The sequence below is a fragment of the Homo sapiens genome, chromosome 1 (genome assembly GCF_000001405.40).
Source record: "Homo sapiens chromosome 1, GRCh38.p14 Primary Assembly".
In the NCBI taxonomy this organism is placed as follows: Eukaryota; Metazoa; Chordata; class Mammalia; order Primates; family Hominidae; genus Homo; species Homo sapiens.
This window is the reverse complement of record NC_000001.11, coordinates 96,770,479-96,794,473: the sequence shown is the minus strand read 5'-3', so window position 1 is coordinate 96,794,473 and position 23,995 is coordinate 96,770,479. Positions and strand designations below refer to the sequence as shown.

The following is a 23,995-nucleotide window of genomic DNA, read 5'->3' as shown; positions in this document are numbered from 1 at the left end:
CATAACCTTTACCTCCCTGGAAAGAATCATATTTTATACTTTGGTCACAAACATATATAGTTTTTCTTCTACTAAATGCAGAAGCAACAGAAGTATTTTCTTTGTTTTAGCCATACAACATATATTTGTCAACTCTTAAAAACACAATTTCTTCAATAAAATCTGCAATCTGATTTGATTTAAACCTATCTTTATGCAGAAGATTTCATTACACAAGGCTGGAGTTGATTACCATAGAATTTAGGCTGTTTGGCCTTAAAAATATTAACCCTAAGATGAATACAAGAGAGGTCTTCAAGTATCAACGGATTGTCACAGAAAAGGGGAAGGTAATGGAAAGTAAGTATTAACAAATGAAATAAATTTCTTAAAACTACAGCTGAGAACAATATAATGGGTAAACATAATGGATCCATTTAAGCAAGACTATGTGAAAAGTTTTTAATGGATGATCAGATAGTCTTAAGTATCTGCCCTGGACAGTTAAACCTTTGAAAAACATTTTATAGTCCTATAGTAATAAGCTTATTTCATTGAAAATGCTGGTCAGTATGTAAACATGAAATGACGTAGTAACATTTTTTTCTCATCTGTAGCCCGTAATACCTTCAAAGTTCCCAACTACCATCAAACATATTTCCTTTACTCAGATGATAAAAATCATTCCAGATGTAAAACACATTCATTCAAATATTATTTATAATGGAATTAAGAGTTGAATAAGCTCTCTAAAAGACACAGCTTCAAATTAATTTGTGACTCAAAAATAAAAATTTTACCCAGTGTTAAAAAATTTTAAATGAGGCCAGGCACGGTGGCTCATGACTGTAATCCCAGCACTTTGGGAGACCAAGGTGGGCGGATCACGAGGTCAGGAGATTGAGACCATCCTGGCTAACACGGTGAAAGCCTGTCTCTACTAAAACTACAAAAAAAATTAGCCAGGTGTGGTGGAGGGCACCTGTAGCCCCAGCTACTCAGGAGGCTGAGGCGGCAGAATGGCGTGAACCCAGGAGGCGGAGCTTGCAGTGAGCAGAGATCCCGCCACTGCACTCCAGCCCAGGCAACAGAGCCAGTACTCCAACTAAAAAAAATAAAATAAAATAAAAAATAAACAATTTAAATGAACAACTCTATCTACTTTAGCTCTTCCAATGTTTTTTCCAAAAGACACATTTTAAGACTTCAAAATTAACATTTTAAAAATTCAGCTATAGCAAAGCAGAGGACAGTTCAATAATCCAAAGAAGTCAACATAATTTAAAATTGCACATATAAAGAGGCATGCTCCAACTATTTTTTACTTCTTAGATATTAAAACACATGAAATGAGAAAGCCGAAGTTATGGGACAGTTAGGACAGGTATTATCATGTGACCTCTAACCAAGTATTTCTGATTTATGTTGAAAATAAAATATTAATTTTTAATTTACATGTATTTTTTAGTTTGGTGTTACTATGGCATTCAGCAATGTGCTTCAAAATCTATGTATTTTTAATATTTCTGGGAAATACTAGCATGTTTAGGTATGTGTGATTACTTTGGTCTTTCTTGGGGGACAGCTTTCAAATATGTCTGCAGTAGATGAGTTTTTTGGTTTAATTTTATGGCTATTATTTGCTATAATTAGTCTTAATAAAATATAGAAAAGGATTTTGAAAAAATAAGATTGACATAAATTTTAACGTGTTGTTTGTCAAAAAGATAAAAATATAAGTTCAATTTATTATTTGCATGTTACATATCTACCCGTTTTGTACCCAATTTTGAATCAATGCATGAACAATACACATTTTTGGTATTTTAATCAATAAGATAATCAGGCTAAATACTTAATGGACTTGGTAACAAAAAATATCTTAGTATGTAAAAAAAAAGCAAGCTAAAATGATGGGACTTAAATTTTTACTATATGTATATTACTATTCTTGATAACTATTCTACAGGTGAGAAGACGACAGGCTAAAATGTCAAGCTAATCTAATTTTATTCCACTATTTATTAGTCAGGAGTACGGACTTTGGAACCAGACTACCTGGCTTTCAGTGCTAGGGCTCGGCCACTCAAAAGTTAAAGGAATCTGGGCAAACTGTTCTTTGTACCCTACTTTCCAAATCTATAAAATGGGATCGATAATGGTAACTACATTTAGAGATGATGTATTAACTTACTTGTAAAGGGCTAAGAACAGTGCCTGACACAGAACACAAAAATGGTTAATATTAGTATTCATATTCATCAAACTTTTGGCTCCTAGGATTGAGACAATTTCATTCTAAGCTACAGTATTTTAAATGTTTGTGTCACAAAATAATTACATAAAAAACTCTAAGCAGGCTAGGCGCGGTGGCTCACGCCCGTAATCCCAGCACTTTGGGAGGCCGAGGCAGGAGGATCAGGAGGTCAGGAGATCAAGACCATCCTGGCTAACACAGTAAAACCCCGTCTCTACTAAAAAAAATATGAAGAAATTAGCTGGGCGTGGTGGCGTGCGCCTGTAGTCCCAGCTACTTGGGAGGCTGAGGCAGGAGAATGGCGTGAACCCAGGAGGCGGAGCTTGCAGTGAGCCGAGATTGCATGCCACTGCACTCCAGCCTGGGTGACAGAGCCAGACTCTATCTCAAAAAAAAAAAAAAAAAAAAAAAGCACAACTCCAAGCAACAGAGGTGGAATTTAAGTAACCAGTATTAAGTTAATAATTTTTGAGCTATTCCTAGGGTGGCAACTATTGCAAAGGCATCTATCTAAGCATTTTGATAGTGGAGCCAAACTTTATACAGAGATCCAATGGTGGCAGAAAACATAGCGAATCCCTTCTACCAATACCAATGATCCAAAAAGATTAGTTCTTAGAAACCAGTATATATGTATCTTCAAAACCCCTCTCCTCTGGGGTTTCGTTTTAGAAAAGTCTACTTAATGGCCTACATCACAATAATTAACTAAAAGTAGCCTTACTAAACCATGAAAATACCATGCCATATTTTTGTTCTTTCTAAGCTCTGGTTCAAGAAACCCAAAAACTTAGAAGCAGCGTTCTTCTTTGTAGGATACTGAAACCCTGAACAGCCTAAATTTATTAAATTATATCTAAAAGACTACAATGAATCTTGTTTAAAAACACATACACACACACAAAAGTAAAGAACACAGGCATCACCTACATATATTTTAAGAAAACATTTGGGTATTGCTCTATTACCTCACTACTGCAATACTAATTTGCAATCTGTCTAGCTTTGTAGTTTTTCCCTTCATCACTGTGTATGAAATGCAATAATGTATTTAAGAAAACCACATTTCACAAAAGATTTTTTTTAATTGTACATATCATCCTATTCAAAAAGAATAAACAGGCAGACTACACAAAAGTACACATACGACAAAAAACACCTGAGAGATGTATATCCTCTCAATGAATAAATAACATGCATACCTGGATGGTTTTTTTTTTTCACAATTATGTATACGAGAAAAGTGATTTATAATCTATTGGTATTTACCGATAAAATACGAATGTATCCTGGTCTTTGTTTTATGGGCATGAATTCCTTCTGAGAGAAAAATTTCTAAATTTTAATTAATTTTGTTTAGTCCTTTATCCACCCCACCCCCTTCCTTTTTTGGGCCACTGGTCAAGGCCAAATTAAATAATTACATACTTCTGGGCTAAGGTCACCATTTCAAACCACTCTGGGCTACCAGAACCTGCAAACAACTGACAGTTTCAAAAGTTTAAAGCAGACAGTGGGAAGAATCTATACTGTACCTGTTCATAAGCTGGTTTAAGTACTTACCTGAAAACAAAAGCTGGGCACCAACTTAAAATTAGCAAACAAATGCAAGAATTTAACTAATTGTCCTGCACAAATTGAATTACAAGGTTGATAATTCTAGTTGATGAAGGAAAATTCTACTTTATAAAGATTTTCAGCTAATTAATGTAGAGAAGGAATATGTGAATTAGGGGAGAAAAAGCAATATTTGCAACCCACTAGTGAAATTAATTAAGGCAGCAACCATTATTGGATACTAAAATCATTAGTAGAAAAAAAAGTAACGAAAGGATCAGAATGTCAACACCCAAATCCACAATCAGTCTTAAAGCATCATTAAAATCACTAAAAGTGGGGCAACCAGATATTAGATGTCTCCTACTGAGACACAATAGGAAGCACAAGAAACACTTCAAAAAAAAAAAAGGCTCTAAATCTTATCAAGCCTTTGGAACTAACTTTAAGTTTATATAAGAAACACAGCAGATAGAGGAACAAGTTAACATGACACTCTAAAGAAACAGCCAGACTAGTCTAATCTGTGAAACTTTCTAAAAGGAAACATCACTTCATAAGTAAATGAATGAGAGATTGGGAGTAGAGAGAGGGAGAGGACTATTACAGACTGAAACAGACTAATGAGATGTAACAACCAAATACTATGTGCGGCCCTCCATAGGACCTTGTTCTGAACAAATCAAACTTTAAAAGCATTTTCAAAATAATTGGGGAAATTTTAATGTAAGCTGGGTATTTGAGGACATTAAGAAATCATTGTCAATTCTGGTAAGTGTAATAATCATATTATGGTTTGGTAAGAAAATGTAATTATTTTAGAGATACTATGGTAATATTTGAGAAGACATGTCACAATGTCAAGGATTTGCTTTAGAACACAAAAGAAAAACTGAATAGATAAAACTAAGTGTCAGCGCTATTGAACCAAGATGACAGGTGTATGGGATTCATTATATTAGCAAATAGCTGAAATCTCTAATAATAAATTAATAAATATTACCAAATGAATAACCCATACAAATGTAACAAAGAAAGAAAATCAAAGTTTTCCAGTTAATTTTATGTATCACAAACATATAGAAAATTATAAATTCAGTTTAACAGCTAATTAAAATTGTGCCAGGAGAACTGTACCAAAATAGATTTAAATGACATTAAGTTACAAGCTCTTTTCTGTAGCAGTAATTCTCAACTCTTGCTACATAGTAAAACCATCTTGAGATCCTAAAAACATAGGAATGCCTGTGACCCACTCTTTAACTATTCTCAGCCTGGGGTAGAATCTGGTGACTTCAACGTGCAGCAAAATTTTGAGAAACAATATTCTATAAGACCTACATGTTTACCTTCATGAATAAATGTTGTATCTGTTCACAATTATAACTATTTTAACGTCAATGATTTCCTACAGAAAGTCTGCTTTGCCTTTCTTTTAAAAACTTTATGATGAGAATGCCTGTTATTCAATTTGAAATACAAGGAAAGCTCTAAAATAAACACTCTTTGTACACAGTCTCTCTCCTAATTTTTAGAATGTAGATAACATGATCATGAAAAATTACTTCCAGCAATTTTTCTAAAAGTGATCTACCCCTTAATAAATTAACTACACCTCTTAACATGATAAAATGATCCATTATAATGATGTCTCAATTTATAATCTGAAGGATTTTTGATCACTGTGTTCTTTGAAACAGAATATGTGAATGACTAATAGTCGGCCACATTTGTGATTATGTATTTTAGATGTCAGATTTTAAACTCATTACAAAGCACTCAGTCTCCTTTCTTTGAACAAATTACATTTTCTGAGACACTGTGATACCTAGCATTAAAGGAAACAGAAAAGCCAGACATAAATGTTAGTCTTAAAAAATTACTGTGTAAAATAAATCAATTAAAATTTATAGTACTGATTCTAAAGTAATTAAATTCAGTCAAGTAGCTAGATCTAATATAAAAATCATACAAGGTAAAGTGAAGCCCCCCACAAATTTTAGCAAAAGAGTATCACCTTATATTTGTGTTCTTAAAAATTTTTGAAATAAATACTCTATCAATTATTTCATTTTGAACAAGTACTGTTACTGGAAGACTGAGCAGGAAGTTAATCCCACCAATATTAGTTTGCTGAAGTCATCTGATTAAATAATTAGAAGAAAAGATTCAGTTATTATTCTAAAAGGCATGACCTCACTCATGCAATATTGGATATCACCATAAACAATGTTTAAAAAGCAAAAAGAGAAGTGGAAACTGAGATCAAAATATTCACCAAACGTATGAAGAAGAAAATTGTGTCTTCATGTCCTACAAATGAATACTTTGGGATTGAGATCAATTATTTAAAAAGAGAGATTATTGAAAAATACTTTTCCAAAAACTGACCTAACATAAGTGAATAAAGCTGAAGGCTTGGCTCATCCAAAATATGCATATTAATATCCTTACTATGCATTTTATAAGAATTACCGTACATCCTAACAGAAAGAATGCAGGCAAGCAATTTAGCAAATTGTGACTATCAAATAAACATTTAAAGATTGTAAACTAAATCTTAACAGAAATTAAAATAGGCATTTGCCTATCAAATTAATCTTGTGAAATTAAAAAATAGTATGCTGGCAGGGGAAAAAGTAGGACACCCAGCCTCATATATAATTAATGTTAGTTTAAGTTAATATCACCTTTAGATGAAGAAATTTGCAAATAAAGTAAACAGGCTTTAACATTTTCTTTGACCCAATAATTCTAATTCTAGGAATCTAGTCTAAGAAAATAATTTGAGAGGCAAAAAAGTACAAGGGTGTTTTAATAAAAAGTATGGAATAGCCTACATGTCCACTTTCAAAGGTATGGCATACCCATGAACATGCTACGCAGGTATTAAAGCTATCTTTTAAAACAAATTCTAAGTAAAATGTCAATTACAATAAAAGATAATGCAAATCTGCAAATACAGAGCAATTTTAATTTTGTACAGAAACATGTATTTACATAAAAAATATGAAAATAAATGGTTATCTCTTGTGAATTATCAAAACCAGGGTCCATTATCTGATTTTTAAAACCTTTAACTCACCTACTTTTAACCTATTTTTGAGTATAGTTAAAAAGCCCAGTTATAACAAGATGCAAAAACATTAAAACAGATAAAAAAAAGAAGTCACTTAGGAAAGGCTAAACACTTTTTCCTTTTTCTTATGAGGCAGAGATGAAGAAACAAAAATGCGTTATACTAAAAAATTCAACACAGAAGTGGAAAAAGACACTAGACAATTTTTTGGCAAAGCGAGCAACTTAATTTACACGCCTTTAATGTAAAAATGTACAACGCTCAAAAAATGAACAAAAGCGGCCAGGCATGGTGGCTCACACCTGTAATCTCAGCACTTTGGGAGGCTGAGGCGGGCAGATCACCTGAGATCAGGAGTTCCAGACCAGCCTGGCCAACATGGTGAAATCTCATCTCTACGAAAAAAGACAAAAGTTAGCCAGGGGTGGTGGTACACGCCTGTAGTCCCAGATGCTCAGGAGGCTGAGGCGGGAGAATCGCTTGAACCCGGGAGGCGGAAGTTGCAGTGAGCCGAGACTGCGCCACCACACTCTGACACGGGCGACAGAGTGAGATTCCATCTCAAAGAGAAAAAAAATGACTTTATTATTGTTTTAAAAGTTTCAGCAAGGTCATAAGATCACAAGAAAAATGGTGATAAATTCCCTAGAAGAATCCACGTGACTTCTAACCAAGCCTCCCACCCAGGATCCAAGCACATCTAAGTATATCCAGATGGGCAAATACACACACCTCAGTAGGGTCCAAAGAAGTGATTATTGTAGTCCATTGTTAATACTAGCTGGAGTTTCTTGGTATTTTATCTTTAGCTGGAGTTTCTTGGTATTTTATCTTTAAATTGTTTCTTTGATGAGTTGCATGTGAATTTTTCAACTTCTTAGAAACTATATGTAAAATCTTGATGAGACCATCTATTTTAACAAAGTAATGTATCTGCCAAGTGCCTAGCTGAATGAATATGACCTAGAAGCTACTCAATAAATTTTGATTCTTTCTAAAACAATGTCTATCAGTAAAGAGTTTAATAATCTATAGTAATAATTATAAGCAAAAACCATGTTTCACTCTTTCATTCCTGACTTTGCCTTTAAAAACTGCACACTGTGAAATATTCAATCTTATTAACTTGAATTACGAATTAAGCTAGACACACACAGAGGTAGTAGAGATTCTGTCAGGAAAGAGTGTAAGTGACCTAAAGCATCTACTACAGTCATAATAAACACTATGACTTCTGCTAGGATACACCAGAAAATTCGAATAAAGGGTCAGATTTGTTTGCAGCTGCCAGAATTAACAGGTAGTTAATTCTTATTAGTTACCAGAATCAAATACCAACTGCCTTAGAGTATCTCTCTCTACATATATACCACTTACAGATTTCATATTCACAAACTGATGGCATGACTGTTATATATTGGGAAGTAAATATTTCCAATAACTACTTAATTATACTATTTTTTCTTTTGAAATGACAGACATAAACTAAATTGTAAAAGCTAGTTTGTCAACTATCAATTTTGAGTTCCATATATATAAAAATCATGACTTAAAGATAATCTTACCAATACTAGAAATCAAGAAATACATCAAATAAAAGGAAACTCTAAAATTCCATCTTAACTTATAAATCACTTTGCACATTTTACTTACAAAGTAAGATTTTCCTTATTTTTTTCTTCATCTTGATTCCACGCTATCAACTATAAGTTGCATATGTTTGCACTGTATTTTTATTAGGTGGCTCAAGTCCATTGTGGTACAAAGTAAAATATAAATGATTAAGACAAAATGCAAAGAAATAGCAAAATTAATTTTACAGAAAATTTCTTCTAGTTTAAATTGTTTTTTTAAAAGGCCACTACAATATGCTTCAAAAAAAATCCCATATGCCTCCACCCATTATGTATGTTTTGTCTCTTAACATTTCACTGTTTCCATGCAATGCTAAATTAAAACAATCAGATCAGCACTGAAAAACACACACAAGAACTTTAGGCCTAGACTCAGGCATAGTGACATCAAGTTTAAAGTGTAAATATGGCATTAAGAATTCAACAGTATTTCTTCATTAGAGCTTTTCTTCTTTTGTTCTGGGAGAGTGGCATGGAAGAGAAGCTGAAGGTATTAAAAGGAACAAAACTAACATATAATTTTAATTAGACTTATAAAGAATACTTTGGGTTTTTCTTAACAGTATTCATATGCCTTCTCACTTGAGAAAAAGAAAACTCACGAAACCTAACACAATTTGGTAAGGTCCAAAATGGGGGGATTCATTATACTTACTGGTACTTTTCCATTTGGCAAAATGGGAGAAAAGTGGTTAAGACAATAAAAATCATACCTAAGAGGGATGTCTCCTTGGCAAATGCTGCAGCAATAGCTGGGTCCAATGCAGGTTGTCCATCCCCAGATGGAAGATCAGGTCGAGTATAATCCCTACTTTTATCATTGTTGTATTTTACATTCAAATTCACAAGTTTGGAAAAATCAATCCTTAGGGTACAGCAGGCATTATAAATATTCTGACCATCTAGGGCCTGTAAAAGTGAATAAAGCATATCAGCAATCTTAAACAAAAAATAAAAATTAGTGAAAGTATAATTTTAGTAATAAAACTCAACAACAAAAACTCGAACTTAAAAGCTACCAGGAAAAGGATTCAAATTTCATATATCAAATTTTGCTGTTCCAGCTGTCCATGTATTACTTTCCCCCAAATATTATCTTCCTTAAATAGAAAATGCTACTTCAACCTAAAATACAACCAGCTAAGCATCCATGCTAATACTTTTAATTTTTAAAAATTGCAAATAGGTTAGTTTTAAAAAAACTAATAAGGATCACAAACAGGAAGTCCTACCAAAGTAGTACCACACTACTCTGCTCAATAAGGTTAATTTTATTATACATATATTTATTGCTGGATGGCAGTACTTATATGATTCAGTACAGTTTTAGAAGGTAACTGCTATTTGATGCCACATTGTACAAAGTTGCTTCAAACCAAATTATCCTAACACATAATAGCAATTCCCATAAAATGAGGCAAAAAAGAAAAAAACTAGTATTTTCCTTAACCTGAAATGTTCACCCCCAATCAGATTATCTTGATGAAATTAGCAAATCCAATGTCATTCCCGAAAAGTTCTGAAACTGACGAGTGCCAGGTCTAGGATTAATTAAAAGCCTAGACTCTTTTCGGTCATCTTAAGCAAGTTATTTGACCTCTCTGAATCTCAATTTCTTAATCGGGAAAACAGGAATGATGACAATGGCTGTCATGCTTCTTCAAGGGTTATTAAGAGGAGTAAATTAAAGACAACATATGTGAAAATACATCATGAATTATAAAGGACTATGTTACCGCTATGATTATCTTGTACTTTTTCTGCTCCTATATAATCACCATTTCTAGTTCAGCTGGATATAAGCTGGAAACAAACTAGAGAACAGGTGAACATACTGTTAACTTTTCATTAGAAGAATAAACATGTCGTGTTATGGAAAAAGTAAACCTCTACAGTTGCTTAAGTATATAAAGCTTTTAATTCAAATATTCTCACCTCTGGGAATATAAAACCTTTTCTCTTAATATACGAATTTTTTTATGGACTAATCTACCTACCTAAAAACTAACCTAGAAAATAATTCAACACAGATTCATCCACTTCAATACAGCACTGGTAAAAACTGAAAGAGAGTTCATACACATCAGGATTTGAATTACATTTGGGTTAGGCAAGGTACCTATCATCACATAAAAGTGGAAGCCATGTATCAATCAACTTTATCAGCCAGAATAACATAACTATTAATTGAATACCCTGGTGTAAAGGTGAAGAAAGCACTGAAGATAGGTATTCATTTACTAATGTAGCATTCCTATAGGGAAAATGTGAGATAAGTAATAGAACTGATGTTTCTACACAATAGATAAATATCAAAAGATAAGTAGCAAAATTCACTCTTAGGTGACTACTTCAATGTTATCAAAGAGAAAATGATACCTTATGAGAAAAGAGCTGGGTTTGAGTCACAGTATCTAGGTTAATGCTAAAAGTGCTGATACAAAATTACTAAACACACACTAAGTTTTTTAGGAGTTGAATTCTTTCCCAGCAATACTGAGGTCCGACTGCCAAATTATCTAACAATGAATATGCCAATTGTTAGAAAGCCCTCCAGGACCCTTTGAAATTTTCCCTCTGAACATTAAAAACAAAAACAAAAACTTTATGTAGGTGGAAGATGCAGAAGTATACCTAAGGTACAAGAGCTAGAGAAATAAGCAAACAAGATGTAAATTAATCATCTGTTGGCAAAAGAGGAAAGAAATAGGAGCTGAGGGTGTATGAGAGCAAAAATCCAGGTATTTTAAATAGTTGGTTAAAGGAGGTGACCACAAATAAGAAAGGGAGTAAAATCAAATTTAAAAAATATATGCAAGCTCACTTCAAGCTCATGTATTTGCAAAATCCCAAGAAATAGCAGTAGCACACAAACCAGTCCTGTGGTTCAGCAATCAGGAATGTGGTGATCTTGTTGGAGCAAAGATTTCTGACATTAAAAGCTCAAGATAATTTGCAGAAAGACCTTCCAAATGTGCCTACTCACAGTGAAGGTTTAGACAGTAAGCAAAAACAATCAGAAAAAAAAGTTTTCATGTAAATTTAAAGTTTATGGCTAAAACATGGAAATCAAAACACAGGAAAGATATTAGGCACAGAAAGCATAATTAAAGCAGCACAATGAAACACTGCATATGGACTGAAAACATGAAAAGCCAAAATAAAACTATTTCCATTTTTCTCATCGTTTACTATTGATAACTTACTTTTTTGAAGAGATTGTTGGGGATCAGATTTAACACACACTGAGAGAAACCTTAACTTCCAAATTCTTTAAATATCTACTTTTTAATATTTGGCAAGTCATGAAAAATTATCAAAATCAACAACACAAAATTAAGCTTATAATACTAATGTAATACTTCAGACTAATTATTTACCAATATCAAATAACCCCACCCTGGTAGATTATGCAGGATTTTCCTAAAGCATCCTAAAACCACTGATTTCATCATAAATTCTCCATTAATATGAATGTAAAATATACAGATTGTAAATTAAGCAGATGTCAAGGAGAATCTTTGCCCAAGAAATTAGCAAAGGATAATTCCATTAGGTCTCTCAAAGAATCTGCATAAAGCAATGTGTACTCTGTGAGAAGGAAATGAATGACATAATCTTACTGCTGCAAATGTTTTATCTCATATTTATTTTTATTATCAGTTAGTGATGAAATGGAATCTCCTGGAAGAAATAAAGAATAAGAAACAACCCACTTATATGTTAAAATAAAATGATCATATAAACAGGACTTCCAGAAGACACAATATACTGTCCAGTGTCAACTAAAGATATTCCTAATAAAGACATGTTTCTGAAAAGCTGTTTCTAATAACAAAAACCAAAAAGAACCATTTCCTACTTATGTGTGTTATAATGTAAGGACTATGTAAAAACAATTTTTAAATCCCAGGTGAAAAGGAGATTACATTATATGTCTTATTATACTATTAAAAAGATTGATATTTTTATGCATCAAGTAATTATATTCCTCAACATTATAAAAGCTGAATTAGAAAGCCAAGAGAAGACGCATCTTTGCCTAATACACTACTTTCCAATAAATAAACAAGATTTTCTGAAAGGTATTAAGGTGTTTTCTTTAATAAATATGAGGATCGCATAAAATACTTTTTATTGATAATTAAGATTGTTACTATGACTTCTGATTTTCACCCTGAATGTCAATGTTTAATAAATACAGCAGAAAGCAAAGCAGACATGGTACTCAGAACTTACAGTCCGACAGAAAATATACACATTTAACAAATTATAAATTTTATGTGTGATACTGAGAACTAAGAAAGGAAGGGATCTAATCTAGTTGAAATGTTACAGAAGACTTATCTCAGGAAGAGGCTTCTAAACTGATACTTGAAAGACAAAGAGAAGCAGAAGTTGGGCATAAAGAGATGAAGAGAAAAAATAGTATTAGCAAATGGAACAGCAATCTGTAAGATCGAGACATCAGAGAAAATACAGTATATGCAAGCTATTTAAAGAAGTCCAATATAGCTAAAAAGGCATGAGAGGAGAATGGAGAGGCAAGCTGAGGACTGATTTAGAGTCTTATAAGCCATGATAAGGACTGTGGACTTTATTGCAAGGACAAAAAAGTCACTAAAGGGTATTGTGATTAGAAGCAATATGACTTGACGTTGAGATGATTCCTAGTACTCTGTGGAAAAATAATGGAGGTAGGGGAAGATGTCAAAATGGTGAGTTCAGTCAGAAGGCCAAGGAAGTGGAGATATGAAAGAGAATTATTACTACATCAATGCTACTTAAATTATGATTGACGGTCCAGAAGCCCAGGCTACTCTGCATGAATATAAGAAGTCTGTGTCAAAATTTATGCCAATATTGACATTAAGCATACTGTTGCTAGAAGTATGCTGATTTCAGTTTGACACACACTACTACCTTGAGAGACCAGCATCTTGAATAACACTGGCTTAGACTGCAATGGTAGCAAGAGTTGGAGAAAAAAGGCCAGATTCAACAAAAATTTAGGAGGTATAATCAATAATATCTGATGACAGGTTGGAAGGAAAGGGAAAAATACCATGTTTACTGGCTTGTTAATGAGACTGAAGTTGGTATCTTGCACTTTCCTAACACAGCGGACACCAAAAACAGGAGCTAGATTGAACACACTGTTTGAAGATATTCATTAGTCCGCCAGGTTCTTAGTGTGGGTCTCTTAGGAGAGGTCTGAGCTAGAAAATGTGATGTGAACTCTGTCTGAATCATAAGAGGTTTAATGGAGCTGTGACAGCAGGTGAGGCCTCCCAGGTAGAAGGGGAGTTACAAGACAAGGAAGAAATAGAGAGGTAGGATAAATCCAGGTGAGAAGTATCAGAGACCAGGAAGAAAGAGAATTTTAAGACAATGGTGCACAGTGCCAAATATTATCTAGGTATTAAGTAAGACAAGGACTAAATCATATCACTAGCATTTAGCTACTCTACTAATCGCTGGTGACGCTGAGGAAGAGCAATTTGGGTCAACAGTGCTAAAACCAAATAATAGTAAGTAGAGAAATGAGATAATAAACAACAAAGATAGACTATTTAAGAAGTCTGGTTATGAGTGAAAAGGGAGAGGGGAGGCAGGGTGATAGAAAGTACGTAGAGTTATAGATGGATGGATTGAAAGTTGAAGGTAAATTCATTTAAAATGAAAGAAGCTGAGAATGCTTGAAACTGGTGAAAAGTGGCCAATATAGAGAGAAATAAATGAGAAAGGGGATGACAGATAGTGCAGTCTCTTGACAGGCAGAAGACGATAGGCTTTGGTGTTTATTGGTCTTAGATAACTAAACATCTATGCCTTTTATTAAAAGAGAAAGACAAGTGTGAGTATTAGCAGATTTTGCAAGAAAAGCTGATGAAGCTTCCATGTGATTTTCCTCTTCAAGCAAGTGAGAGTGAGGAGAGATATGGTAGAAGGGAAAATTTCTATCTGACATAGGCATTGTGAAAAACAGAAAAACTGTTGACTGAAGAAATGGGAAGAGATTTTTAAAGTAGAGTAGAGGGCTTACTTGTAGTTGACGTTGATGGATTTAAACTGGTACCAATTGTCAGATTATGTAATATTATGTGATATTCTCTAAGTAGAGCCCAGATGCAGGCAAGTAAAATGAACATTACTGTAGTTATCAAAAATGCAAATTTTACCAAAGGGTCTAGATTACAAGGTAATGGGGCAAAGCAAGTTTAGGAAACAAATTTCTTTTTCCTTCTGTAATAAGTGAAGTGTGAGTTCTGATACCAGAATAAGTACTTAGTAAAACAATTATCTACTCTCTTAGAATTATAACTTTAGATCTTTGTCAAGAAGACCTGAGTGCATACCTGTGCACAAACATCAATATCATAGTTGGATGCTTAGTATCTGTTCACAGAAGATTAAACAAAAATGTCAAACAGTTGACACAATTGAGGTACTTTTATGAGATTTAATGTAACTATGTATTACTTCAGACAAGATACACATATAAACAATTTTCCCCTTAAGAATTATAGCTCAAACACAGTATAATCCCCACTCAAATTTCATTTAATTGGTCCTCTAACAAATACTTTTCTTTGGGGTCAGAAGAGCAAGGAAAATATTCCACACCAAGAAAAATGTAGACTATATTTAAACGTTTGAAGTTGTGAAAAATGTCACAGAAACCATGACTTCTAGATTGTCTCCTATTCATAAAACCTCATACCACATTGATTTTGGTAGCCAGGGCATGTGAAAGGAGGATAATCATTTTTTGGACAAAAAAAAAGAATTCTAATTATTAACCTATGCCTGAAGCGGAAAGCACAGTAAGATTAGATTATACCCGAGAACCAGTGAGAAGCAGCATACTGGAGAGAAAGGCTAAGACTGAAAAAATGTCTACCTTATAGGTGGTGTTCACTGTAAGTAATTCACCTCTTTAAATCTTAGCATCCTCTTGTAACGCAGGGGAAAACCCTGTTTTGTTGACAATATAGAGTAGTGGTCAGAAAAAATGAGACTACGGCACTTGGTAAACTATTACAATTATGCTATTATTACTTGTATAGCCTTTCTGCTACCTACAACTAATTTTGCTCCCAAAATGAGGTTGTGTGGATGGAAATGCAATGAAACAATTGTAAAAAATGGTCTGGGCTCCACAGAAGTAATCTTGATCTGGAGGAAGCATTTAAGTATTAGAGACAATAATTAATCTGAAAGTAAAAGAATGAATGAAAGGAAGAAAACCAGTTAAGATAAATGTAAGCTTATTAAATGGTTTCATAATAATGGCTTAATAATGAATTTTTAATGGCTTAATAATGGAATAGTAATAATAATGAGATACTATGGCACAAAAAGTTAAAGAGACAGAGCAAAAGTAGATTTAAGATATACAAACAGAAGATTAAGGTACTTGGAAGCAAAGATGTGGTGCGCAGTTTTCAGTGGCAGCCTTGATGGGAAATTTTACATCTCTCAATGACCTTACATCCTCCATATGTAACAATGACAAAAAAGATAAATGATATGAATAAAAAGTGACTAGAAACCTATTCATAAAACCTTTAAAAAAAAGACATTAAAGAGAATATATAGTTTTAAATAAACTGAGAGCCTATCATAGCATTTGAGCCACATCTGTATATTTCAGCCAAACTCTTTTGAAAACTAATTACTTTGAAATTCCCAGCAAAAGCCACTTCAAATCTTATGCTGGTGCACATTCACAATATAGTCCTGCTTTTTTCTTAAGAGTACAAACTTTTGTCCTTAAATTAAAAAAAAAAAAAAAAAGTAAAATAATAGAAACCCACATCATGGTTAACTACAACTATGATTTTCCTAAAAATAAATATTTCTTTTATGACAAATATTAAGGTTTCTTAATATTAATGCCATCAATTTCTACTATCTGTAATGCTACAAGATATCATTAAGTATACATACATATATATATATTTTTCTACATATACATTTCAATAAAAAAAAATCACCATCTCAAAAGAAAGACTTACTAGTTTTGCTTGTTGAGCATTTACTGGATCACCATACTGGAGCAAAGCTTGAAACTGGTTATTTTTTGTAAATGTGATTATCTTCAATACAGCACCAAACTTAGAAAATATCTGTTAAAACATTAAAATCAAAACATTACTTATTTACTATATTATTATTTCTCTAATTTATAGGTAATTATGCAGATTAAACTTACTTGGTGAAGAACATCAAGTGTTACAGGGTAGTACATGTTGTCAATAATTATTCTAAGTACTGGACTCTGGGCTGGAGTCACTGCACTCTCGCTAACTGTGGTGCCACTAAGAGGAGTATTTGCTGTCTGGACAGCTGTCACAGCTTGAAGAACTGCCTGAGCACGCTGGAAATTAAGATTATGTAGTTTAGAAACATACCCATTATTGTCACATACTTTGCAACCTGTTACACTACTAGTTCACTTTGTTCCTAGAACTTACACAGATTAAACAAAATTAAATGGCCCCTCAACAGATATTTTTAAGCACCTGCCATGAGCCAGGTACTACCTGTTTAATAAATCAAATATTCTACTAGTATTTCATTCAAAAAAATTATCCAGGCTTTGGGATCAATGTTGAACATGCAAAGGTATGATATGTAATTTATTCTCAAAAGAACAAGATGTAGTTTTATAAATACATGTACCATCAGAAAATGTTTTAAACAGAAATTTAGAGAATACAACTTTAACATTAATCACTCCATAAAACAGGTACGTTGTAAATCTCAACAAGGGGGTTACTGAATTATCCAAAAGAACTCCCATAAAGCTTATTATTTCTAATACAATCTTAAAATAGGAACATTCAGAAAATACATTTTTCATACTACACTTAACTTCTGACACCAAAATTTTTAGAATAGAAACCAACGTGTAGTCTAGTCCAAAACCACAAAATTCTCAGGTAAACTTCAAGATATAATATGAAGAATATTTCCCATACATTTTATGGTATCAAATACACCATTAATTATAAAATGCACTATTGTTTTATGTATGACTAATAAGATGTTGCCAATTGAACTATGGAAGATAGACTATTGCAGGACACATCAAATTTCTGAGATTTTAAAATGCGAAAAAATATACCCATAAAATTGAATAAACACAGTATTTGTAGGAAATCTGTCAATCAAATATTATGTTAAATGCTCCAAAAGACTGCCTTTATTACTATTATCCCTTTCCTGTTATTATGATGACAGTCTATGATAAGGAAATAATTTCTTTCTACCTTATCTGTGGTCAAAAAACATACAAAGGCAAATAGTTCTAAAATATAACAATGACAAATACCACAAATACCTATACATAGGTTTACAGTTTGAAAAATCTATATCAACAGGTTAATGAAAGAGAATACAAAAGAATTAGGACACTCAGGAGAATAAACAAGAAAAGTCATTTTACTAAAATATTATATAACCACAGATCACACGGCTTGAGAGTCCAGATATATATCTAAACAATCATTTAAATGCTACTTAATTTTATCTATAAATTTATGTATTAGTCAAAATGACTTACTAATTAAAACTCAACATTTTGAAATGTGATAGATTATTTTAGTAGACATCTTGATACTATTATTGAAAAAATAATTGTAAATTGGTAAAATTAGTTTTATAGAGCAGTATCTATTCAAATGTTTAAATGTATTTAAATATTTTAAGTAGCTCATTGCAATATTATCTTCTTCATTAGTGAACATGTTCTTACTGTATTTATCTATAATAACAAGCATAGACTACCACAACTTAGAAAAACACTAACATCTGCTTCAAATAATAAAATGTTTTCTAAAATAGGAATCCATGATCATGGTATAAAAGTGGTATTAAAGATTAAAAATTCCCCTGCAACTCTGTCACCCAGTCTATTTTCCCCTACCAACCCCTCACAGTATTATCTTCGATATCCTTCCAGAGATACTAGCTACATCTACAAGCATATATATATAAATATTATACTTAGTCTGTATTTTTTTCAATACTATTCATATTTTTATTCAATACTATTCATACTTTTATTTAATACTATTCATTGTTCTCTATCTTCCTTTTATGGCTTAACAATCATGTTCTCTCACATCAGTAACAAATTACTTCATACATTTCTTTATGATTTCATTTTTAATGACTTCATATATTTTTTCTTATAATTCATGGAGCAGTGTTGGCTTGCAAACCTAGATTTTAATAAAACTTCTTATCAAAATATTACACACACACACAAAAGGACACAAAACCTAAGTATAAAGCTCCATAAAATACCACAAATTGGACATCTCTGTGAAATAATTACCCAGATAAAAAACAGTATATTATCAACACTCTAGAAGCCATACTCACGCTTCCTCCAAGTTACATAAATGGAATCATATCAGATGTATTCTACTTTGGTTTGGCTTCTTCCAATAATTATGATGTACACTACCCATGTTTTGCAGGCAGCAGTAGCTTGTTCATTTTTATTACTATACAATATTCCACTAAATGAATACAACACAACATATTCTGCTGCTGTTGAACATTTGGATGATTTATAGTTTTTTGGGCTATTACATACAGTGTTCCATGAACTTTCTTGTACATATCTTTTAACATACCTATGTACATGTTCTCAGGTATGTTAACTAGGAGCGAGTTTACTACATCAAAGAATAGCTATATGCTCAACTTTAGTAGATATTTCGAGTTTTCAAAAATGGTTGTCACCAGTATTTTATTACCTATCCTTTTAATTTTAGCCACTCTGGTTATGTGCATAGCAGTATCTCATTCGGAGTTAACACTCTCAATCCAAACCTAATCTACTCTTTGCTTATCAGGGGATAGCTTTTAGGAGAAGAAATAGCTAAAGGGAGACCTCAAGATATTTAACACTGGCCATGTGAAGTGTGAGGTGGAGGAAGGGTGGTGCAAAAGGCAGGCCAACCCACAATATTCCATGCATGAGAGCAGTGACATAATGGCAGCAAACGACTGACATCAAGAGAAAACATGCCAGGTTACAGGATGCACCATTACTTTTGGGACAGAAGCATAAGCAAATAGGGTGGGAGTAGTCATAAGACAAGACAAAAAGTAGTAAGCTCAGAAAGGGCCTTTAGCCTGAGCATGAACAGGACCTACTGCATGGGAGTAACTTAGATATGTGCATTTGAGAAAGATACGTACTGGCTGTACTAGCGAGAAAAAAATTCCAGAAGGGAAAAGAAAAAGAAAGTAGTTTATAAAGAGAACTGTCGTAGTAATATAGCCAACAGGTGAGTGTGTTTGAGCAATACAAGTAGCAGGAAAGATGGAGAAAACCAGGCAGATAATTAAAAAGTGTGAACTAATAGGACCTGGTGATTTCATGAACGGATGTGAAAGAATTCATGGTTAATGCATACTCATTTGCATGTCTTCTATTATGAAACTCTATTAAAATGCCTAGAAGTGAATGAATATAAAATAAACAAACACTGAAGGGAGGGAAGGTTATCATTAGCTGAGAATAATTTTATCAAATTCCTGGAACACAGAAAATGAATGGAACCAAATGGACTGGAGACACAGTGAACACACAGCAAACAGGTGTTATACTGGTAGCAGCCACAGGAACCAAATCAGAAATTGGCAGGTTCACAGGAGGAGGGAGTGGGTGAAAAACAGACGAACAGAAAGTCTAGTTCATTAACAAAAGAGCTAAATTTCTCTTCTCCCTCCTGTGACCAACTTGTACCCTCACCATTAAAAGAAGAAAACAACAACAAATCTCCCTTAAAGGAACCAGAATTTCTTCCTTTTTTTTTTTTTAAGAGACTGTGTCTTGCTTTGTTGCTGAGGCTGGAGTGCAGTGGTGTGACCAGTTCACTGCTGCCCTGAATTTACCTCAGCTTCTCAAAGTGCTGGGATTACAGGCATGAGCCAAAGTGCCCTGCTGGTACCAGGAATTCTTTTTTTTTTTTTTTTTTGAGACAGAGTCTCGCTCTGTCGCCCAGGCTGAAGTGCAGTGGCGCGATCTCGGCTCACTGCAAGCTCCGCCTCCTGGGTCTGCACCATTCTCCTGCCTCAGCCTCCCGAGTAGCTGGGACTACAGGCGCCCGCCACCACGCCCAGCTAATTTTCGTATTTTTAGTACAGACGGGGTTTCACCATGGTCTCGATCTCCTGACCTCGTGATCCGCCCACCTCAGCCTCCCAAAGTGCTGGGATTACAAGTGTGAGCCACCACGCACAGCCTGGTACCAGAAATTCTAAAGGGAGTTTTGTTGACCCAGAATAAGAGCCTCTTTGGTATTTGGGGGGAATGGGGGTAACAGCTTAGTAAACGCTCTTCATTACTTTATCCTAGAGGAAAGCATACAACTTTAACAAAATCTAATTGTCCATTCTGAAACACGAAAAGACAACAAAGGGGGGATGAAGAGAATGAGAACAAGATAAACATAAATGCTAACACTGAAAAAATAACTCAGCATATAGTGACGTATTTTTTAAATACTGTAACTAGTATCCTCAAAGTACTGTTGTTAAGGCATAACCAACTACAAAAAAAAGATGACCAAAGGAGACTGAAGGGCTTTAGAAGATGAAAAATAAAATTATAAAAGCATTTTTTTCAACAGAAGGAACTTTGCATTGATTATTCCTTCTGTCTGGAATAAGTGGCTTATTCCCTAACCACTTTGAAGTTCATTATTCAAATATCCCCTCTCAATGGGGCTTCCACTAGTCATCCTAAGTGCCCCTCCTCCACATCCATCCATGTGTAGGCCTCAGCTTTACTCTTTTTTTTTTTTTTTTTTTTTTTGAGATAGAGTCTCGCTCTGTCACCCAGGCTGGAGTGCAGTGACGCATCTGGGATCACCGCAAGCTCCACCCCCCCGGGTTCAAGCAATTCTCTCTTGCCTCAGCCTCCAAGTAGCTGGGATTACAGGCACCTGGCACCATGCCTGGCTAATTTTTTTTTTTTTTTGTATTTTTAGTAGACTCAGGGTTTCACCATGTTGGTCAGGCGGGTCTTGAACTCCTGACCTCAGGTAATCCACCCGCCTCAGCCTCCCAAAGTGCTGGGATTACCAGTATAAGCCACCAAGCCCAGCCCCCAGCTTTATTCTTTACATGTTCCTTTCGTTTAATCTTTTAAAATGAGAATGTACTTGCAAATTACTTAAATAATAACGAACTAGAAATGGGATATTAAATGTCATTTTAAGAGGACACTGTGTGTGCTAAGTGAATAAGTCAAACAAAGAAAGACAAATAACACATTATCTCACTTACATATGTAATCTAAAAAAGCTGAACTCACATTAGTAGAGAGTAGAAAAATAGTCACCAGAGGCTGGGGGAGGGAGGAGTGAACAGGGAAGGGGTGATGATGGTCAAAGTACAAAGTTTCAGACAGGAAGAATAGGTTCTGGTGATCTACCGCACAGCATGGCAACTACTGTAATGCATAATACTGTATTGTGACATTGTAAAATAGACATTTGGTCCTCAACCCCATTTCCTGGCATACAACTCTAAATTCCTAATAAATCTCCAAAATGATATATTTTGTATGCTAATGAGTTGACTGATGGCTGGCAGCCCCACTTTAAGATGGGGACTGGTCACCTGAAAGATCAAGGCATGATTAGAGGCTTATTATCCTTTTTAATATCCTATATAATAAACTAGTAAATCTCAGTAAATGTTTCCTTGAGTTCTGTGTGCTGCTCTAGCAAATTAATGAAATCCAAAAAGGGGGTTGTGGGAACCCCAACTTGAAGCTGGTCAATCAGAAGTTCCAGAGGCCTGACTTGCTGGTGTCTCAGGAGATCTTGTGGGACTGAGCCCTCAACCTGTGGGATCTGATGCTATCTCCCGGCAGACAGTGTTGAAACTGAGCTAAGTTGGAGAACACTGCAGACCTGACTGCTTGCTTGGCGTGGAAAAAAATTCCCCCACATTTGAGGCCACAGAAGCCTTCTGTGTTGATTGTTGTGGTGTGAGCAGAGGAAAAACAGTTTTTCCACATTCCACTGTATACTTCCAAAATAGCTAAAGGAATTTTAAATGTTCTTACCATAAAGAAATTGTAAGTACTGAAGAGATGAATATGTTAACCAGCCAGATTTGATCATTCCATAATATATATGTATTAAAACATCACATTGTACACCATAAGTATAAACAATTATTTGTTAAAAATAAGTTAAAAATGCAAAAAAATCTAAGTAAAAAGAAAGAAGAGCAGATATTTTCTTTTGGTATTCTTCCTCTTGATAAATTATTAGAAGCATACATTCTTTTTCAAAAGAAATTAAAAACTCATCATCAAATTAAAAAAGCTGAAATTTCAGTCCTATCTTTTAGGTAAAAAGTTTTACAAGCTTATTTTCCATAAACTAACAAAATGATTTTGTCACTTTGTAAAGTGACAAAAATCTATGAGGAACAGTTTTCCATTACATTTTTATTAAGAAAAAGTTTGTATTTTACTGACAGAGAAAGATATCATTAGTTTTAAAACTATATTAAAACAGCTAAAGTTTTAGATCATTACAGCAGTCTTATAATGTAGGTCGGAAAACATTCTAATGCTATTTTTGAATACATTAATTTTAAACAATATCTTCTATATTACATTTTTAAAACATCAATACATTCACATATTCTTCATCCTTAAGATTTCTTTTCCAGGAAAACCATTAACACATCTTCAAAAAAAAATTTTCCGTAAGAAATTAAGACCTATAAAAAAAATCAAATAACCAAAGGCACTGAACTTCTTACCTTAAATTCTAAGCAGGAGAGTTGTATAAACAGTTTATGCTAATAATAAATCCTACCTGATAAGTTTCTACACAAAAATTTTAACTTGCAACAAGAAAAAGAACATTTGACCAGGGGATTAAAGGAATTCAAAATGACATAGTATTTAATACTTAGAAACATTCTGCATGAAAATACCTTAAAAATAACAAGAAAATGCCTATAAGGAACATCTGAACAGGTAAACATTTCCTTCCTATTAATGTTTATGAGATTCATAATATGTTCTAGGCCATTTTATTTATGTACCTACACATACTTACTTGGTTTAATGTATTATCTGTCTTTAGTTCTTTGTGATTCGAGTACTGGATATATATTGGTTGGTTACGAAGATGAGGTGTCACAGCAGAATAGTAATTAACCATAGTAATAGCTGCTTCCTCGGTTGCTAGTTCCAAAAATGCCTGAAAATTTAAGTAGCACAATTTTTAATACTATAAATTCAAATAAAATTAATATCTAAGCAATCTATTCAGATGATTTTAATCAATTATCTAGAATATAATCCTTCAGGTTACTTTTAAATGTTCTGATAAGCAGAATTAGAAATCTCTTGTTGAAGTTTAGGTATACAGTTAAAGCTAACCTCAGAAGAAAACCGAGTACACGCTGCTTCTGCCTTCCACCTATGAT

At 33.6% G+C, this 23,995-nt stretch overlaps 1 protein-coding gene across 16 annotated transcripts in view; it reads right to left on the bottom strand.

Moving 5' to 3' along the window:
* PTBP2 (polypyrimidine tract binding protein 2) overlaps positions 1–23,995 on the bottom strand; it is a 101,956-nt gene that overhangs the window by 29,266 nt on the left and 48,695 nt on the right. For all 16 annotated transcript variants that reach the window (NR_125357.2, NR_125356.1, XM_011541876.3 and 13 more), the window contains 4 exons: positions 23,623–23,766; positions 16,725–16,889; positions 16,528–16,638; positions 9,220–9,415 (listed from right to left, as the gene is read on the bottom strand). Coding sequence is in view for 14 of the 16 variants with exons in the window: in XM_011541876.3 (XP_011540178.1) it covers positions 9,220–9,415; positions 16,528–16,638; positions 16,725–16,889; positions 23,623–23,766 (616 nt within the window). In the remaining 2 variants the exon portion in view is untranslated. The remainder of the gene's footprint in view (positions 1–9,219; positions 9,416–16,527; positions 16,639–16,724; positions 16,890–23,622; positions 23,767–23,995) is intronic.